The sequence below is a fragment of the Homo sapiens genome, chromosome 6 (assembly GCF_000001405.40).
Source record: "Homo sapiens chromosome 6, GRCh38.p14 Primary Assembly".
NCBI classification, from domain to species: Eukaryota; Metazoa; Chordata; class Mammalia; order Primates; family Hominidae; genus Homo; species Homo sapiens.
Genome location: NC_000006.12, coordinates 143,595,966 through 143,614,135, shown reverse-complemented (window position 1 = coordinate 143,614,135; position 18,170 = coordinate 143,595,966). Strand labels below are relative to the sequence as shown.

At 40.0% G+C, this 18,170-nt stretch overlaps 1 protein-coding gene across 5 annotated transcripts in view, besides 1 other annotated feature; it reads right to left on the bottom strand.

The window, feature by feature from the left end:
* PHACTR2 (phosphatase and actin regulator 2) overlaps positions 1 to 18,170 on the bottom strand; it is a 294,308-nt gene that overhangs the window by 217,050 nt on the left and 59,088 nt on the right. For 4 of the 5 annotated variants that reach the window (NR_172204.1, NM_014721.3, NM_001100166.2 and 1 more), the window contains exon 1: positions 5,814 to 5,956. The exons of the other annotated variant lie outside the window; for it this stretch is intronic. Coding sequence is in view for 3 of the 4 variants with exons in the window: in NM_014721.3 (NP_055536.2) it covers positions 5,814 to 5,826 (13 nt within the window). In the remaining variant the exon portion in view is untranslated. Of the gene's footprint in view, positions 1 to 5,813; positions 5,957 to 18,170 lie in introns of those variants that run through there. 5 annotated transcript variants of the gene reach the window in all.
* Positions 10,358 to 10,558: a silencer, noted in NCBI's record as "peak6177 fragment used in MPRA reporter construct". NCBI's record gives its function as "represses an SCP1 promoter by STARR-seq MPRAs in K562 erythroleukemia cells {active_cell/tissue: K562}" and the evidence as "EXISTENCE:reporter gene assay evidence [ECO:0000049][PMID:32103011]".

Below are 18,170 nucleotides of genomic sequence, written 5' to 3'. Positions count from 1 at the left end.
ATTCTCCCACCTCAGGCATCCAAGTAGCTGGAACTACAGGTATGTGCCAGCACACCTGGCTAATTTTTGTATTTTTAGTAGAGATGGGGGTTTCATTATGTTGGTCAGGCTGGTCTCGAACTCCTGACCTTGTGATCTGCCTGCCTTGGCCTCCCCAAGTGCTGAGATCACAGATGTGAGCCACCACGCCCGGCCTCAGCATGTTTCTTAACATGCTAAGAAACCTGTTGAATGCTGTTAAACTCAACAATTCTTAAAATTGCCTGAATGCTAAATTCTTTGTGTGTGGAGGTGGGTTGGGGAGTTTATTTAATAACCTGTGGAATTAATATGGAATGGCGTATAATTTAGAAAATGTTGATTACTGATTCCTCTATCACCAAAATGCATTTTTGCTTGTGCTTTATATCTTTTCTAACAGTTGTTCTCGACAGAAGCCATTTGACAAGGATTTCTATTTCATCTTGGTGATACAGAAAAATCACAATTCATTCTGCCTTTGGAAAGATGAGCGTTTGCAAAGAAAGAAACGCTCAGAACAAATTCCAGTGATCCTGAAACAAAAGTCAAAACTTCATTTCAAAAACAAAGACTTTGTCCTGCTTCTGCACACTCTTGGGCCATGACTGTCAGTTTACTCGCAGGAGGTCACAGTCACTACACTATTAGAGTAAAACTAGGAAGAAAATTTAGTCCCACTTTCACAGTACTTTTATGTTTATATATGAACTGATTTTTCCTTTTGGCATTTTTATTTTAAAACAGTTATTTTGGTAATACTAGCATTTTGAAAACAGATGCTCCAAAAAACAGATTATTTATCAAATTTTAACTTTTTGCTTAGAAAAATATCTTTACATGGGCCGGGCGCGGTGGCTCACGCCTGTAATCCCAGCACTTCGGGAGGCCGAGGCGGGTGGATCACGAGGTCGGGAGACTGAGACCATCCTGGCTAACACGGTGAAACCCCGTCTCTACTGAAAATGTAAAAATTAGCCGGGCATGGGGGCAGGCGCCTGTAGTCCCAGCTACTCGGGAGGCTGAGGCCAGGGAATGGCGTGAACCTGGGAGGCGGAGCTTGCAGTGAGCCGAGATTGCGCCACCGCACTCCCGGGCGACAGAGCAAGACTCCGTCTCAAAAAAAAGAAAAACAAAAATATATTTACATGAATCCTGGATGCTTCTAAGAATATTTATTTTGTGAAACCTAAAATGCTAAAATAGCACAATGGGTTTCACAATAAATTCAAAGGAAAATACTGTCATTTGCTTGGTAGTTAATAAAATGTTAAATAATAATCTTTACAACATAAAGGCATTTCAGAGGATAAGAATGAGTTTCTTTTTTAATTTAAAAGAAAATCTGTTCTAATTTTTTATCAAGTTTTTTAGAAGAGCTAGCAACATTACATTCCCCTACATCAAGGCTGACAATCCCCTAAATAAAGAATCCACACATACGTACATATATTAACAATACACATGCAAATGCATGTGTACATATTATGTACGTGTGTGTGTGTGTATATATAACATTAATAAATTTCTAAAAAGTATCATGGTTAACAAAATTATAGATAGTAAGACCAAGAGATCATGAAAGTGGAGGATTAGAGGAAACAAAATTTTAATTGCAAAAAATAGAGTTTGCAAACATAGTCAAATATTCTAGAAAGCATCCTCTTTCAAAACATATGCATTCTTATTGGATCTCTGCCCCATTAGGTAACCCTTCTCCTGAGTCACCATCTTTAGCTGTTCAGGAACTTTGGCATGACAACCTGGGCTGCTAAGGTTTTGAACCAGCTTGAAATGAAATGTCTTCGTGCTTACATTTTCTTATGTGACAGCCTGGCCTTTACCCTAATTATTGCAATGCTTAGGAGCATGTTTCTCTTTGCCTGGTCTTATTTCCATCTATAAAAAAAGATGAAGCATTTGAAAGTTTCCTTTCTCTGTACCATCCCATAGAATCTCCCACAGACTGGAGGGAGAGGAGGCAGGAATCCTTTTTAATCCTTTAAGTGGATTAAATAGTCATCAGTGAACCAACTACTATGGCTAGTGGGCAACACACAAGGTATTTCAAACCCAACAATGTCAAAATGGAACTCACTGTCTTTCTCTGAAAACTCATCTTGTGTTCAGTAGTGCAGGACTACTGTCTTAAATTCTCTAACGGGAAACCTCCAGGGTCTCCTTTGACTGCTGCAGTTCTCCCTGCCTCCATATCCACTCGTCGTGCTCTGCTGATGCATATCCAATGCATCCCCCAACCCCATGCCCATTGCACCACCCACATAAATTTCCAGTTCTACTTCTGAGACAGCCACTTGACTAGTCTCTTTGCTCAGAATTGCTCACTTTCCCACACTGTCATCCACACCACTTTCAGAGCCACGCTGCTGGAGCATATATTTATTTGTTCATAAAGCAACCTGCTTCAATCTTTTGATGACTCTCTAAAACGCCAACATGCATTGTATGCTGCCATATGCCAGCCATTGTACCAAAAGCTTTACAGGAGTTATCTTATTTTCTCCTCATAGCAATCCTATGAGATGGGTACCATTATTGTCACCCCTTACCAATGAGAAAATTAAATGCATAGAGTTTCTATTACTTGTTCACAGTCACTGGGATGACAGGTAGCAGAGCCAACGTTCAGCTAAAATTATCTGATGCTCTCGACTACTCCACTCCAAACCCTTCCTCAGTCTGGCTCCAAATAACTCTCGAGTCTCTTTTGCAGGGAGCTGGCAGACTGTGACCTTCTCAAACTCAATGAATGTACATCAATTGTCAAAAGGCTTTGAACCACTGAGCTAGAATGCACGGTGAAGGCGCAGGGGCTCTCAGCAGCTGCCACCTCCCCTCCAAATGAGTGTGGCTCTTTCAACCCACACATGGTAACTGAAATATCTTGATATCAAGTAGGGAAAACCCAACACAATAAATTCTGCAGAACTTTTTTTTTTTAACAGTACTCTGCACTGTAGAATATGGGATTACATTTCAAAAATTGTGTTTCAGATAAAAAACACACACCAATCAACTTTGCCTCTGAATGTCTTATCACAGTTCATTCACGAGAACCACTTGATGGAGGTAAGGAGGATAGTGGCACTGGCAGAATGCTGATGATGCTTGTAGTCACAGGTGTGCCATTCTAAAGCACCATCTATTTGACTTGTTATATAACTTCTAAGAAGAAATAGCCATTTGAAAAAAAAAGAAGAAAATGTTAGATATTGCTAAAATTGCCCTGACATATTCCACACACACAGTTTGATAAATATTTTATTGTTATTCCAGGAAAAGCTTTTAAAGGAATACAGAAGCCAGCAATTATGGGGAAGGGATGTCTCCTTCTCTGAGATAGTAGGAATGTCAGCTCTTTGCTGCTAAGGAGAGAAAGGACAGATTCACAATGCCATGATAGCTGAAATGTACACACACCCACCAAAAGGGCCGGAGTCCCAAGCAGCTCATCTTACTTTACTTGTTAACAGCAGAAACCATGCACAAATATCCTGATGCAGCGTTCTATGTGACTTGAATAAATGAGGGACATTCAACCTGTGTGGACCCATTGCTGTGCTTCTGCCTGTCAATTATCCAAACTCCCACACAGAAAGCCTTGCTAGAAGAAGGTCTGGCTCCTTGAAACTAATGATCCAGTTGTCAGTACGAGTGCCCCGCTCTAAACTACTAGCTCTGAAATCCAGGGCCTCAATTCATTTCTGATTAGAAAAATTTAGGCAAATACTCAACATCATTATCTTCTTTAAATTAAATTGGAGAAACTGTAGTGCTCCAAGTTATTTCAGATTTTTCAGATTTTTTTTTTTGCCACTTACCAGTTTTATCTTAAATGCTTCCCTTACAGTCAATATAATGTATTGAAATGTCTGTATATAATGGATGTTTACATTTTCCTCCTGTAAGAGAGGCTGCTTACCTCATCAAAAAATTACCATGAAAAGTGATCACTGACAGCCAATTATAAGCCATTATAAGAAACATGCTATTTCTGAAGCATTCAAATTATGTGATTTAAAACCCGTTATTCTATTCAAAGGTATGTATGGCTATATTTGAGATTACACCTAAAATTTGAAATGATATAGAAATTGCTACTTTACAAGCCACTCTCCACAGTGTTTAAATAATCTTAAACTCATCAAGAGCAGAGGTATTTTATTAATTGCATTTAATAACATAACTAGAGATTGTGAAAACATCCCCCAAAGCTCTAGTTACCCAAAAAAGAAAAATAACCCTTAGCATTTTTAAGCCTACATAAAGTCTGCCACAGGAGTTTCTTTCCTTTTTTTAAATGGCCTTTAAATAAATATATGAGTCAGTTTAAAAAGGCATTTACTTGAATTAAAGTGATCGTTCTGCCAGAATGTCAGTATAATAAATTGTGGGTGGCAGAAGTTTTAAATGAGGCTAAATTAGAGATTCTAAGTTTATTTATTTAATTTTTACTCACTCTACCACTGTAATTAGAGAAGCTTTTGGTTGATCTTCAAATTGTGCCTTGTCATGGAATACCATACCTACCTGCTTTTATGACAAGCCCTATAGTACATTTTTTTTAATGACCAGAATGGGGGTATAATCCATATACATGCATCCAGCTTCACTCCTGCTACTACTACACACACATCCTTACACTTGTTTCATTTCTTCCACCACCCTAACATTTTCATCCCTGATATTATACTGTTCCACTTTATTTCAATATCTTCAATGGCAATGACCAAATAATGTTAGTCACAGAGTTTTGTTCCTGGTAAGCTATTTCATAAAAGAACCTAATACACGCTGACTTTAAAATCTCTGCTAGCCTATGCTACCTGTGCCGAGGACTGAACTAGCTCAATTTCATAAACAAATATGTTTCACCATCAATGGGTGGTCTTGTAGTGTAGAATGTGTTTTAAATGATGTAACCTCTTAGAAGAGCTGACCGTGTCTCAAGGCATGGGAAGCATCACCTTCAAGCTGATACCAGCTGCGTAACTGAACTAATGAGCTTCAGGAGACAGATAATCCATAACACAGCTGGGAGAATTCTGCTTGAGTGCCGACAACACTGAAATGGGGCATGATCTCACAGTATATCTCCTCTAAAAGTTCAATACAGCAAAGTAAAAAGAAAAAAGTTCCACCTGATAATTTTATGCTAATTATTTAATTGACATTAACATACTTCAATCATCTGTTTGTCTAGTTATCAAGTAAAGATACTAAAAATAAGTACATTTTTAAAGGTTCACAATTGACCACTAATGTCTCTATTCTGAAATTAAAATATCAGAGGCTATCGAAACATTTTCGACATTGCATCCTAACGTGAAGATGAAAGCATCAGACCAAAGAGCTCTTATGCTGTTACACTGTGCATATTGTAATATTTACACAGAATTTTTGCTCAGCTCATTAACTTAATTCCATCTACCTTGTGCCATCCCTTAGTAATAGTTTTTTCACTAACTGTATGCATTTTCCACCCATCGCTCTGAGCACAAAAGAATCAAACACCACACTTGCTTCAGCCTAAATAGCAGTAGTCTTCACAAAAGGTGAATTTGGAATACAATCTGCATTCCCAGTTCCTAAACTTCAAAGTAAACACTAATTGTCTTGTGGACAATGCATCGGGGTTCACATATTACACGCGTCTCAGTCTTGAACATTTAAGTGCAAAACGAGAGCAACAAATAGGCAAACCTTCCGCAGTAAAGGATGCGGGCTGCAAAGGAAGCCAGCAGCTATGAAGAATTCATGCTTGATTTACCCACCGGCGTTGTCCATGTCTCAGGAGTGGCGAGGCGAGTTCTGTAGCCTGGCAGCCGGGAAGCCCTGGCTCTTCTGACTAACGAAGCACCCTGTCCTTCTGCTGATTATCAGCCCTTGCTGGCACACTGAGCATACTTCATGCACTGTCTGCAGGAGACACCGCCAGGAAATTTATATCTCCAAGGATGACAAACAGCCATTAGCTCCATTACAGGCTGATTAAGAGAGACTGAGCCTATCAAGTGGGTACTTGAATCCCCTGGGGTTTCCACCTCTGCTCTAAGCTAAGGAGGGGGAAAAAAATCACTGCAATGTTGAATGTGTTGCACATTTCAGGAAAAAAAGTGCACATGCTATGCAAAACACAGAGCTTTCCAAAAGATGCCAGGGCAAACAGGAGCAGGAAGAGGCACTGATCATGAAAAGGTAAAAAGGAATATTTAAAAATACAATACATTATCCTTTCCTTGGGGTTTGTCTAAATATGGTTCAGCCTTTATCATTGACCTCACTGAATGACTGGGCAACTTTTCAATTTAAAATTTTAAAGTGTTTTGGTTGTTGTTGGGGGAGGAGGCAGGGAGTAGCAGATAAAACATTGAAAAATAAAGACTATCTTTAATATCTCTGTTCCAAATAAATATTAGGAAGTTGAGTATTGCCATTCCATTTTAGTTATGTTCATCATGACTAGTTCTTCTATTTCTGATCAGCATTTCTGCTCACCTATCCTAACAGAGAAATTCAAATATTTTCACCGAATGTCACTAATAATTCAAGAAAGAACTGTCAAAAGAGGTTAGGGGATTCTACAGTCCGTTATCATCTGTGGCTAAAGAAATGTGAAGATCAGGAAAGACTGACTAACACAGGAAGGCCCTACTTCACTTCTTTCGTTTAATTTGGCTGTGTAAAGATGACTCTCAAAGACACCAAAAACTGCTTACGCTGTCAGGACACAAGGGTGAACACAGTGCTGGAGAAATCAGGTGCCAGGCCTCGTGGCTGTCATGACATTAGATGCTGGGGACAGCGCAACTGTTTTCTCAAATATAGTACAAAGATTTGCAATGACCTCATAGGACCTACGATGAAATGAATCCACAGTATAGTTAGGCTCTCCAGGTCTTTTATACAGACAGAATTTTAAAAAAACAGTTCATAGTGTTATATCCCCAGAGTTGCCAAATTTGAAAGGCAATTTGTTTATTAAGCATTTCTTTATGCCATTGGAATTCCTAGTGACACACCGGTCACAAATTATTTATAGTCTAGTTTCCCATTGTAACAGCTTCTAGGTTTAAGTATTTTTGTTTTTAATGTAACTTCAGGATTTCCTATAGATATGAGGTTCTTTTATTGTTTAAACAAAACACTTTGTTTACGTCAGTGATAGTTCAGAAATGTTTTCCTCAAATAAAAGCTGAATTTCTCAGTGATTTTTAACCTGAGATTTTTAACCCTGTCATTTCAATTCTGTCACACAATTTTAAAGGTATATCACTCTATGAATTTAAAAAATCATCTTTATATATTTTTAAAAAATTTGCTTGGATCCCGTAAGACTGAAATCACTGGGTTTCTATACCTCGTCTACTTGCCCTGATTAAGACCTGCCAACTATCCAGAGTGAGTGTTATAAGCTCCAAATCTAGGACAAACTAACTATTTTTAAGAAAAAAAAGAGGAGATAACAGGGAAATAAAGGTAACAGAGAGAGAAGATACATCATCAAAGCTGAGATGTGGGTAAGGAGTAGCTAAGAAGTCTCATCTATTGGCAGTGCCTATTGCCTAATATGAATATATTTATATTAGCTTTGTCCACAGTTCAAAATCTGACTCTCAGTCATTTTTATTAATACTGTTAGTCCTTAAATGACAAATGGATTATGTTCCAAAAGTTCATTTTATTGGTCGTTCGAAACACACTTTTTTTTCCATAAATACTGACTGGCTTCCAAGGCCAGTCCATTAAGCACTCCCTAACTCACAATGCGATTTATATAAAATCTAATCTTTACTCACAAGTCTAAAATCCAGAAAGTTTTAAAAATATTGTTTTTTGTAAGTTTCGCTCCAAAATGCATTTAGTGTCATAACTTGAAGTGACGTGACGCTATTAAAAATCTTTACTTATTCCACTTAGAGCAAATAATCATGTTTGCTACAGAAATGTTTAATATTATAGGTTCTAAGAATCTTCCCAGATCCTGCTAGGAGTGATTCATAATAAGTAGCATATGTTTTCTATTACCTTTCTAAAATAAAATTCTGAATTCTGAAACACAACTGACTCCAAGGGTTTCAGTTGAAGGACTGTGGTCCTTCAGTCCATTTTTGCAATTTAAAATGGTAGATGACAAGTATTTGTGGTGATGGATGTGTTAATTAGCTGGATTTAATCATCCCACATTGTACACATATGTCATTATATCACATCATACCCCATAAATATATACAGTTATAATTTGTCAATTTACAATAAAATAAAAATAAAATGGCAGAAAATAATTCTTAATACTATTTTGTCACAGGATTCCCCTAGGTATTTAGGAACTTAACATCTCCCTCCCTTGCCTATAAATACTTAAACATCTCCACTAAGAGATAAACAAGAAATGGGCAACATGGAAAAATGTCTAGAAATCAGAAAATTAATGTTGAGTGTCCATTATAAATTAAGCCCTGTTCAAAAACTGCATTCATTGCCGAGGACCTAACTGCTTCCCAATTCTCTGTATTGGTAACTGGCTCCACCACTGCCCCTCCTCTGTCCCTCCCCAGCATCAGAGGAAGGGCAATGCAACCGTGAAAAAGCACAGTAAGTGGACCATTTTCCTCAAGCTCCAGGGAGAATCCACTCCCTCCCTTGATTTAATTCACACCCACAATTAATATGCTGTAGCTGGGGAATGCCTGGTTATAAAATGTTCACCAGGCCCTTTCCTATGGCCCCAGAGATGCTGTGGGCATGGTAGAGGCATCGATAAGCCTAATGTTCTCCATTATGTTTCTAAACATGGGGTTCGTTCCCATTTTTATTAACCTTCCCATGAGTATATACTCAGCTTGCCTAGAGTTCGACAAACTTGTTTGAGGCTGGGGTAATTTGGAGCACCTGCATCCAAGTACCCTCAGTGTGATCCCACCTTCGAAAGAAGGACACAACCCCTCACTATCTGGGTTTTTTAAGAGAGTGTTTGCCTGGGGTTGGTTGTATGATGTTTGGGATGCCGGGCCTGTCTGGCTGAGGTGGCAACAGCAAGGCTGCTGTGGGGCCCTGAGTCTTCAAACGCATCACCAAGCACATCTTTCTACAAAAAAAAAAACCCTATTAGCAACTGTCTCTCTCAGTTTTAACAAAGAAGATAATGTCTTGGCTCCCTATAAAAGTTCTGCTTGCTTTTCTTTTTTTTCTCTTTTTTTTTTTTGAGACGGAGTCTTGCTCTGTTGCCTAGGCTGGAGTGCAATGGCGCAATCTTGGTTCACTGCAACCTCCACCTCCTGGGTTCAAGCAATTCTCATGCCTCAGCCTCGCGAGTAGCTGGGATTACAGGTGCTCACCACCTGTAATCACCACCGCCTGGCTAATTTTTGTATTTTCAGTAGAGATGGGTTTCACCATGTTGATCAGGCTGGTCTTGAACTCCTGACCGCAGGTGATCCACCCGCCTCTGCCTCCCAAAGTGCTGGGATTACAGGCATGAGCCAGTGCACTGGGTCACATTACTTCTTAACTTTCCTACGAGAAGCTCTCACTTATTGGAAGCACAGAGAAGAACTGATGGCAATAGGTGGCAATAATACTCTGCCTTTCCTAACTGAAATTCGAGCCCAGGGGGATAAAGGCCAGTTCAGATGGATTCTATGGAGAAAAAGAGCAGAAACACCACTCCAAGGGGCAGAGAGACTCCAAAATCACAGGCTAAAAAGAACATAGTTTTACTTTTAGAGGATGAATTGGAATCCTTTCTTACAAGATCAGGCTCTGTTTCTCAGGATGGAGAAGTAAAAGAGTAAACTGTCCACGTAATTAGATTGCTTGGTCCAGTAGATCTCTTGGATACTCAAATGGGCCTATCTGACTATTTCAACCTTTTGAGTTTCTGATTCATCCAAAGAATCAGAACATTGACTACCAATGAGAAAGCTTGCTCCCTATTCATTTTGGAACATATTCTACTGAAAGTGTCTTCTTTTCTTTTCTCTTTTTTTTTTTTTTTTTTGAATCAGAGTCTCTCTCTGTCACCAGGCTGGAGTGCAGTGGCATGATCTCGGCTCACTGCAACCTCTGCCTCCCGGGTTCAAGTGATTCTCGAGCCTCAGTTCCTGGATAGCTGGGGTTACAGGCACCTGTCACCATGCCCAGGTAACTTTTTGTATTTTTAGTAGAGACAGTGTTTCACCATGTTGGCCAGGTTGTCTTGAACTCCTGACCTCAAGTGATCCACCCACCTCGGTCTCTCAAAGTGCTGGGATTACAGGCATGAGCCACCCCACCCAGCTGAAAATCTCTTCTAAAAACATTTGAGCCACTGCTTTTACAAATACAGCTATCAAATAGTTTTGACAAGCAAAATGCTTGGATATATAGCTCTCCAAGGTACTAAACCAAATCCCTGAACTATTAACCAAAAACAGTTGATAGGAGAAAGTTTTGCAACAGATAGTGTTTCCAGGAAGATCTGGGCAAGAAAGATTATACATTTATCCAATGTTCTACTATGTGGATTTTAGGCCAATGCTATTTGACATGACTGTTTTCTATTCTGCCTAACTATTCTCCTTTTGAGGTTTCTCTTCTGATGTAAGGTGTGGGGAGGGGTCTCCTGAATTTCTGGATAACGTTTGCTTCTCTTCCCTTATTCATGGTCCTTGGAGTGTGCCTGATACCTCTTTTTTTTTTTTTAAGGCAGAGCAACATACACTGCTCCTTGGCTATAATTTTTTTCCCTGTTATATTCAAAGTTGAGTCCAATCCCTCTCCCCGACTGCAAAATCCCATGGCAGTGGTCCCTATACCTATTGCAATGGTCCCAAATAAAACCTGCCTTACCGTGCTTGAACAAGTGTCATCGAATAATTTTTTAACAGCAAATTGTTGGAGGTAAAGACATTTTTAAATGTCTTCAATTAGTTTAGCTACTTCCAAGTATTTTTTTTTTTTTTTTTTTTTTGAGACAGAGTCTTGCTCTTGTCACCCAGGCTAGAGTGCAGTGGTGCAATCTTGGCTCACTGCAGCCTCCGTCTCATGGATTCTAGCAGTTCTCCTGTCTCAGCCTCCTGAGTAGCTGGGATTACAGGCATGCACCACCATGTCTGGCTAGTTTTTGTATTTTTAGTAGAGACGGGGTTTTGCCATGTTGGCCAGGCTGGTCTCAAACTCCTGACCACGGGTGATCTGCCCACCTCGGCCTCCCAAAGTGCTGGGGTTACAGGCATGAGCCACTGTGCCCAGCCCACACTTACCCTCTTTACCATCTTAATGCAGAGGCTGTGAAACTTTTCTGCACATCCAGATTGCCTGGTGTCTGGACCTTACATAAGGCAACATCCATCAGACACAGTCTTCCGACAAGTTTGGACTTTTGGCCAAGGTGGTTTGGTGAATCCACACTTGGACAACACCCCACTGCTCCAAACACATAGCAATGATAGATAAAATATTAAATAGGTAAATCACAGCTAGGCACAAGAAGCTAGCTGACCATTTCGATGAATGAGCAGGGAGCCAAAAGCTGAAGGCTGTGGGTGAGGTTTCTGCAATGTCCTGCTGTACCCAAGGGACAAAAGCAGAGGTCAAGGCCAGATGCGCAGCTCCTATGTAGTAATGGCTCTAAAAGAGCTCCACATGAGAAAGGAGCAATCAGAGCCAGGCTCTGCTTGAATGGAGAGTCCTGGCTCAAGAAATGAGGTTGGAAAAACAAATGGCTGATGCCTTAGTTCCAGGAGCCATGGCTTTATAAAGCCTTGAGGGGCAGGGAGAGGATAAGTCTTCATAATCAATAATTAACTAAGCTTCACGTGGGTCCCTAAATACTGGATCGGCAGTATGCCCTCAAAATTGAGCAGAAATTTCCTCAAGATGTCATTAGAAAACCTGACTAGATGGGAAGGTTAGAGGGACAAGGTGGAGATGACTTCAAAACCATAAAACTATTAGGGAGGGGGAGAGCGAGAGTGAAAACAAAACTAAAGGAACTAATGTTAGGCAGCACAATGAGGTGACTATAGTTAACAATCGTATTTTATATTTCAAAATAACTAAAAGAGTGGAATTGGAATGTTCCTAACATAAAAAATGATAAATGCTTGAGGCAATGAATATCTCCATTACCTTGATTTGGTCATTACAAGTTGTATGATTGCATCAAAATATCAGATGTAACCCATATGTATAACTATTATGTATCAATAATAATTAAAAATTTTTTAAAAATTAAAACCACAAACAAGCAAACAAACAAAAAAGACCTTCCACTGAAAATGAAGGCATGAGTTGAATTCCAAAATATTTTAAGATTGCTAATACATAAAAAGCGTGGGAATGTATTTCTCTTACAGTAACAATGCAGAAGAATGAGCAAAAACAAAGGACCATCTGGGACCCAGGAGTCCACACAGATGGCACTTACTCAGCAATGAATCTCAAAGTGAATGCCCTGGTGGCTGGAAAACTAAAAAGCCTATCTCCGTGAAAGGCACAAAAGGAACTCTGCCAAAGTCATAGAGAGAGGGTTCCTCAATATGTGAAATATGTTTAGCTTTTCTAATAAAACCAGTTAACCCAAGAGTGCTTAGGAAGCAAATTCTGACATCTAAATGAGATTTCTTAGGTGTCAGTCTAGTGTGCCTTAGCCCAGCATTGTACTCCTAAAAAAACCTGCAAGCAGCCCTCTGAGAAGGAGGCTCAACATTGGCCTGGCCCTGCAAAAACATGTTGGGGAAGCTCTGGCCATTGCAGTGAAAATCAATTCATCAGACACTTTGACCAGCAACCTGTACAGATCTAAAGGCCATCCCAAGACGGCCTTTTTTTCCAGAAGATTCTGATTTTCTCAAAGAAGATTCTGGGCTTTCTTCCTTCTCCTCCAGAATTGGAACCCACAACTGACACCTGTATCTGAGTCTCAAGCCAGAGACCACAGCTTTCATTTTTTGAACATTGACTATTTACCAGGCACGGTGCCTAATACTTTCTTTATGCATTTATTTCATTAAAACATAACAGCAAGAATGAGTTTGGTACTATTATTATTCCCATTTTATAGATGAAGAAACTAAGGCTTGGAGAGGTTAAGAAATGTGCCTCAAGATGCACAAATGATAGATCTGGATTCAAACTCAGGTCTTTCGTATTGTAGCATGTTCATGTGTCATCTCTTCATTCTACAATATTTACCAGGAATGGCCAGGCTCAATGTATAGGCCCAACTTCTTTTTATAGAATCTTATTTTATTGAACTTCTGCTTTCAATGCAAAAGCATAATTTCTTTTAAAGCTTCAGGCTTCTGTCTCAATTTGACTAATGAAATGTTTAAAGCTATTCTTTTTGCCTTGGCAAAACAAAACAAAACTAAACAAAACAATCACTTCGCCCTCAATAGCACTCAATAGTCTTGGTATGAAAATAAACATGGTAGAATTACTGCCTGTAAAAGGCATTGAGATACAGGCCTCTTTCTAAATTCCAGGAGATGGCTGCATTTAAAAATTATTCCTGAAGGAAGACTAAATTATAAATCTGTAAATCAAAGCAGAAGGATATATGCTTACCATTATTTAGCTCAATCTATTTATCACTTCAAGGATTTTTAAAAATAGTTTTTAAGAACTGTACCTATACTTTATTATGGCCAATGCTCAAAAAATTATTGAGTTGGCAGCAATGCCACCAGGTCACTGGAATGCAGAGGAAGGCATCTGTTTGACATGGTGCTGACTATTGGCAAAAAAGGGCTTCTGAACATATCGATCAGCCAAAGGGGTAGCCTGTTGCTTAAAGGGCAGTTACAGCTGCTTATGGATGAGTCTACTGTTACAAAACCAGCAAACAAAGGGAAAAACTGGTTCAGAGAAGCTGCTTCAGGAATATACAGCTTGCACAAGTTCTCTCCACAAGCCACCAGTTAGTTGGAAATATGATGGGTACCCATCCTAATAACATAGCAAGTTCCCCTCCAATGATGTGGCTGGCAGGCTCATGCCGGCCGGACGGCGGGCAGCCTGCTATCCATACTCAAAAAGGTGATTCTCTCTAGTAGACTTTAAGAAAGGGTCAGACTACTGTTTTCTCAGATTAGAATCATGAGCTGCCAACTGGTAGTCTAATCAAATCCAGCTCACTGACATGATCATTTGGCCAGGCCAAACCTTGAAAGCTTTAGACAAGGCATCTGCTCTGAGTTTGCCAAAGTTTCCACCACTCCCAATTGTCTCACATTGAGCTACACACACTTACATGGCCTGCCTGGCTCCTGAAAGCATTTGGGCCCAAGTCAGCAGAATGGCCTGCTGACCTCTCAAATCCCTTGCAGACTCATGACTCTATAAAGAAAGGGTGGTATGTCTTAATACAGCATAGAAAGGGGGAAAGGTATAGGTTGGATCTTAATGAGCTGTTCTTATAGGCTAGCAAGGGAAGCACCCTTTGCAACTCAAAAAATTTCCTCCGTAGGCTGTTTGGGATTCATCAAACAAGTATTCTAGGCTCTGCTTGACTTAAATTTAAATTAATAAGCATTTCTTTAGTAATACGACATTTGTTAAGTTGGGTTACTTCTTATCAAACATGTATTGATTGCTTCCATGAAAGACGTAGAAATCTTGTCAAGGTCTTCCTCGTAGCTCCCAGAACACTACTGAGTACTCAACAATTGTTTCTAGAATAAATACATGACCAGATAAGTGATGGATGAATCAATAAACAGTGTGGTCCAGGCAGGGCCAAAATTCCTAAAAATGCCTAAAAAGCATGTTACTTTTTTCTCTCATGAATCAATTTCTGCCTGATCTCCTTAAATAGCCTAATGAAAGTTTAGTTTTCTCCTACGAAAGTACACTTGCCATCTAGTAGTTTTATTTTTTTAAAGAGTATTAACACATAGGCTTTAGATTAATTGAGAGAATGATTCTTTTTCACCATTCTGCTTTTGTCTCCTTATCCAGGACTTCATTGAAAAAAGAATTGGAGGTGACCCCAATTTTTCAGATCAGCTTAGGACACCTAGAGCAAAGCGCTGAGTACCCAGAGGGTCATCAATAAATGCCTGACTGATTTAACTGGGGACTGACCTCTCTGACTCCTCCCACTGCCATCATTGTTCTAAAAGAGTCAGGGGTGAGATGCTATCTAAATTTAATTACAAAGGACTAATCTACTATGTTTACTATTCACGCCACTAAACCTGGAACAGATAACAGAAAGCATCAATGCCAGCCATTTAAATGGCTCTAGGTGGACTTGTTAGGACCACAGCAAACACTTAGCTAGTCTTTGAGACATGAGGTCTAGTGATTCCTCTAAGGGGGTCATAGAAAGTTCCTGGGAGCCATAAAAAAAGGAGATAAAACATCTGCATCTGATACGAAGGACAAAGCCAGGAAAGGCACTGGATAACAGTCAAGGTTAACCAGGTTCTAACATATCCACAGGGACATAGGCCAGGAAGGGGAAGCCATGTGGTTGTTCTTAGAGAAGTGCTTTGCCATCAGATGACTGCGATCCCTCCCTGGCCCACACTTCTGCTTTTACTTTCCTTTCCTATTATCTTTTCATCAGTATTAGTTTCCTGTTGCTACTGTAACAAATTACCACCAATTTAGTGGCTTAAAACAGCCAAAATTTACTCTGATGGTTCTGGGTCAGAAATCCAAAATTAGTCTTATCTTGTAGGGCTCAAATCAAGGTGTTCTGAAGGGCTGCATTCCTCTGGAGGCTCTGGCTTGGTCTCTTCCACCTCCTAGGCTCAGTTGCATTCTTTGGTTACAGCCTCATTGCTCCAAAATTTGTCTTCATTGTCACATTGCCTTCTCCTCTTTTAACCTTCTTGTCCCTCTTATAAGGAATCCTGTGATTACACTGAGCCCAGCCAAATAATGTAGGATCATTTCGCCCAGGATCATTAAGTCAACATCCTTAACGTCTTCACATCTGCAAAGTCCCTTTTGCCATGTAAAGTAACATATTCACAGGTTTAAGGGGTTAAGATATGGTTCTTTTTTGGGGGCGCGGGGGGCATTCTTCGACCTACTATATCATCACTGTCTTAACAAACTACATGCATCAAGTCACCTTAACTAAAGTTGCCTCTCCCCAGGAACAGGCTCAGAAACAGCCAAAGCCCCCACCGCTACTTCCGTAGGTGCACCTGAAGTCTTGCGTGCTGAGTAACAGGTAGAAAATATGGCAGGTGGTAGGAGGAGCATCAGGAAGGGCACCAGCAATGGGCTTTGAGCAGGTAATGAAAGAGAATTTCTCAGGATAAAATGGTAGCGAAATTATAAAAAAGAATGTCAATATAATGGACCTGGAGGATTTCCAATAATCTAGCTCTATATGGCATTCCAAAGCCTGGGTCCAGCATGTTCAGTGGCTTAAAGGAAGAAGTGTTTAGGTCAATGCTGAATAAAGACTTTAAAAACCTCTATGCTAGAACACAAATGGAACCATGTATTGTTTGAAGGGGGAATCAGATCTCCTTAATCCTTTTATCACTGGCTCCCATCAGGAAAAACAGACAGCAGAAGAGGAATCCAAGAGTCCAGGACAAATTACAACTGAACTCTGCAAAGATGACATATGTAATACACCTTATTCCAAACATGTTTGCTCACATTTGGCATGTGGGTTGTAGAGAGTAGGGATTTCACTTTATTTTTAGGATGGTCTGTGGGTAGAGGATGATATTCACCTTGAATAAAAGAAATCACATTTAATGAAAATGCATGAGGTCTTTACTACTCACCTGGAAGCCAGTATTATGTTTCCGTACAACTGCTCAAGGCAAAAAAGCAAAACCACTGAGATACCCTAGACCACCTCAATATTCCTTCAAGGGAGGGACAGCAAGCAGCTCACGAATGGTATGTCTTTCATTTCTTGGAGGCTAGGTTGAGCAACTATCTTCCTGGAAGTCATTCCTGTCCCTCCCTACAATGGGTTTTCCCAAGAGAATGTGTTCTTCCACAGTGTGGAGCGTGAGAACACAGAGGGGAAAATACATGCCAAGTGTAGAAAGATCCAGAGTATAGAGCAGAAGAATGTGACCTTGATGTGCATACTGGGAGCAGAAACGCAGGAGGGAAGGAGGCAGGAGGGCTGTGCTGGCAGCAATAGGGCTGTTGCAAGACACAGGCAGAAGGCAGATGGGGCTGCTGGCCAGCAAGTAAGTTCACAGGACTTTCAGCAAGGGCTGCAGAGCCCTAGCAACAGCCCCAGAGTTGGACGCCATGATTCTTTTTATTTTTATTTTTATTTTTTTTGAGATGAGGTCTCACTCTGTCACTCAAGCTGGAATGCTGTGGCACGATCACAGTTCACTGCAACCTCAAACTCCTGGGCTTAAGCGATCCTCCTGCCTTAGCCTCCCAAGTAGCTGGGACTACTGTCACATACCACCACAGCCAGCTAACTTTTTTATTTTTAGTAAAATGGGGTCTCACTATGTTGCCCAGGCTGATCTCAAACTACTAGGCTCATGTGATCCTCCCACCTTGGCATCCCATAATGCTGGGATTACAGGCATGAGCCACAGTGCCCGGCCTGATGGCTGTGATTCTTACACAGAGTTTTGGTGTTTTCAAAAACATTCACTTGTCGAAAACCTATTATATTATCCACTCAAAAACACTGGCTGTTAAGCATTTATTACTGATATTCTGCTAACAATCTGGGGATACAAATATAAGTAAGAGTGTCTCTCTCTTAATGCAGTTCAGGTAAATGTGAGCCTCAATAACAAGATCACCACCAAGAAATAAACCTTCTGAGAAAGGACGACCCGCTTAGTTAGCCGCTCCCAACTTGGAAAACAGAACATACGCTAAAAAGACACCAAATGAAGACCTAGAGGAATAAAGGGACTCACAGATCTGGCTTGCTGGGGACAACAAAAGTATTTTTCATGGCCAGTTTTGCAGGCCTGAGGATCAAGATTCAATTAACATGTGGATAGTGCTATAAAATATCTGTAATTCATTTGAGATAGTTAAATTACTTAATAAGCATAATGATTAGTAAATTATCTAAATTTATAGAATCTCCGCCAACTGAATCATTCTCAAGTGTTCTTTTATTCTTTAAAGTACTATTTTAAGAGTCTCCAGTAGATAGTGCTTATACGAGAAATAGTTTG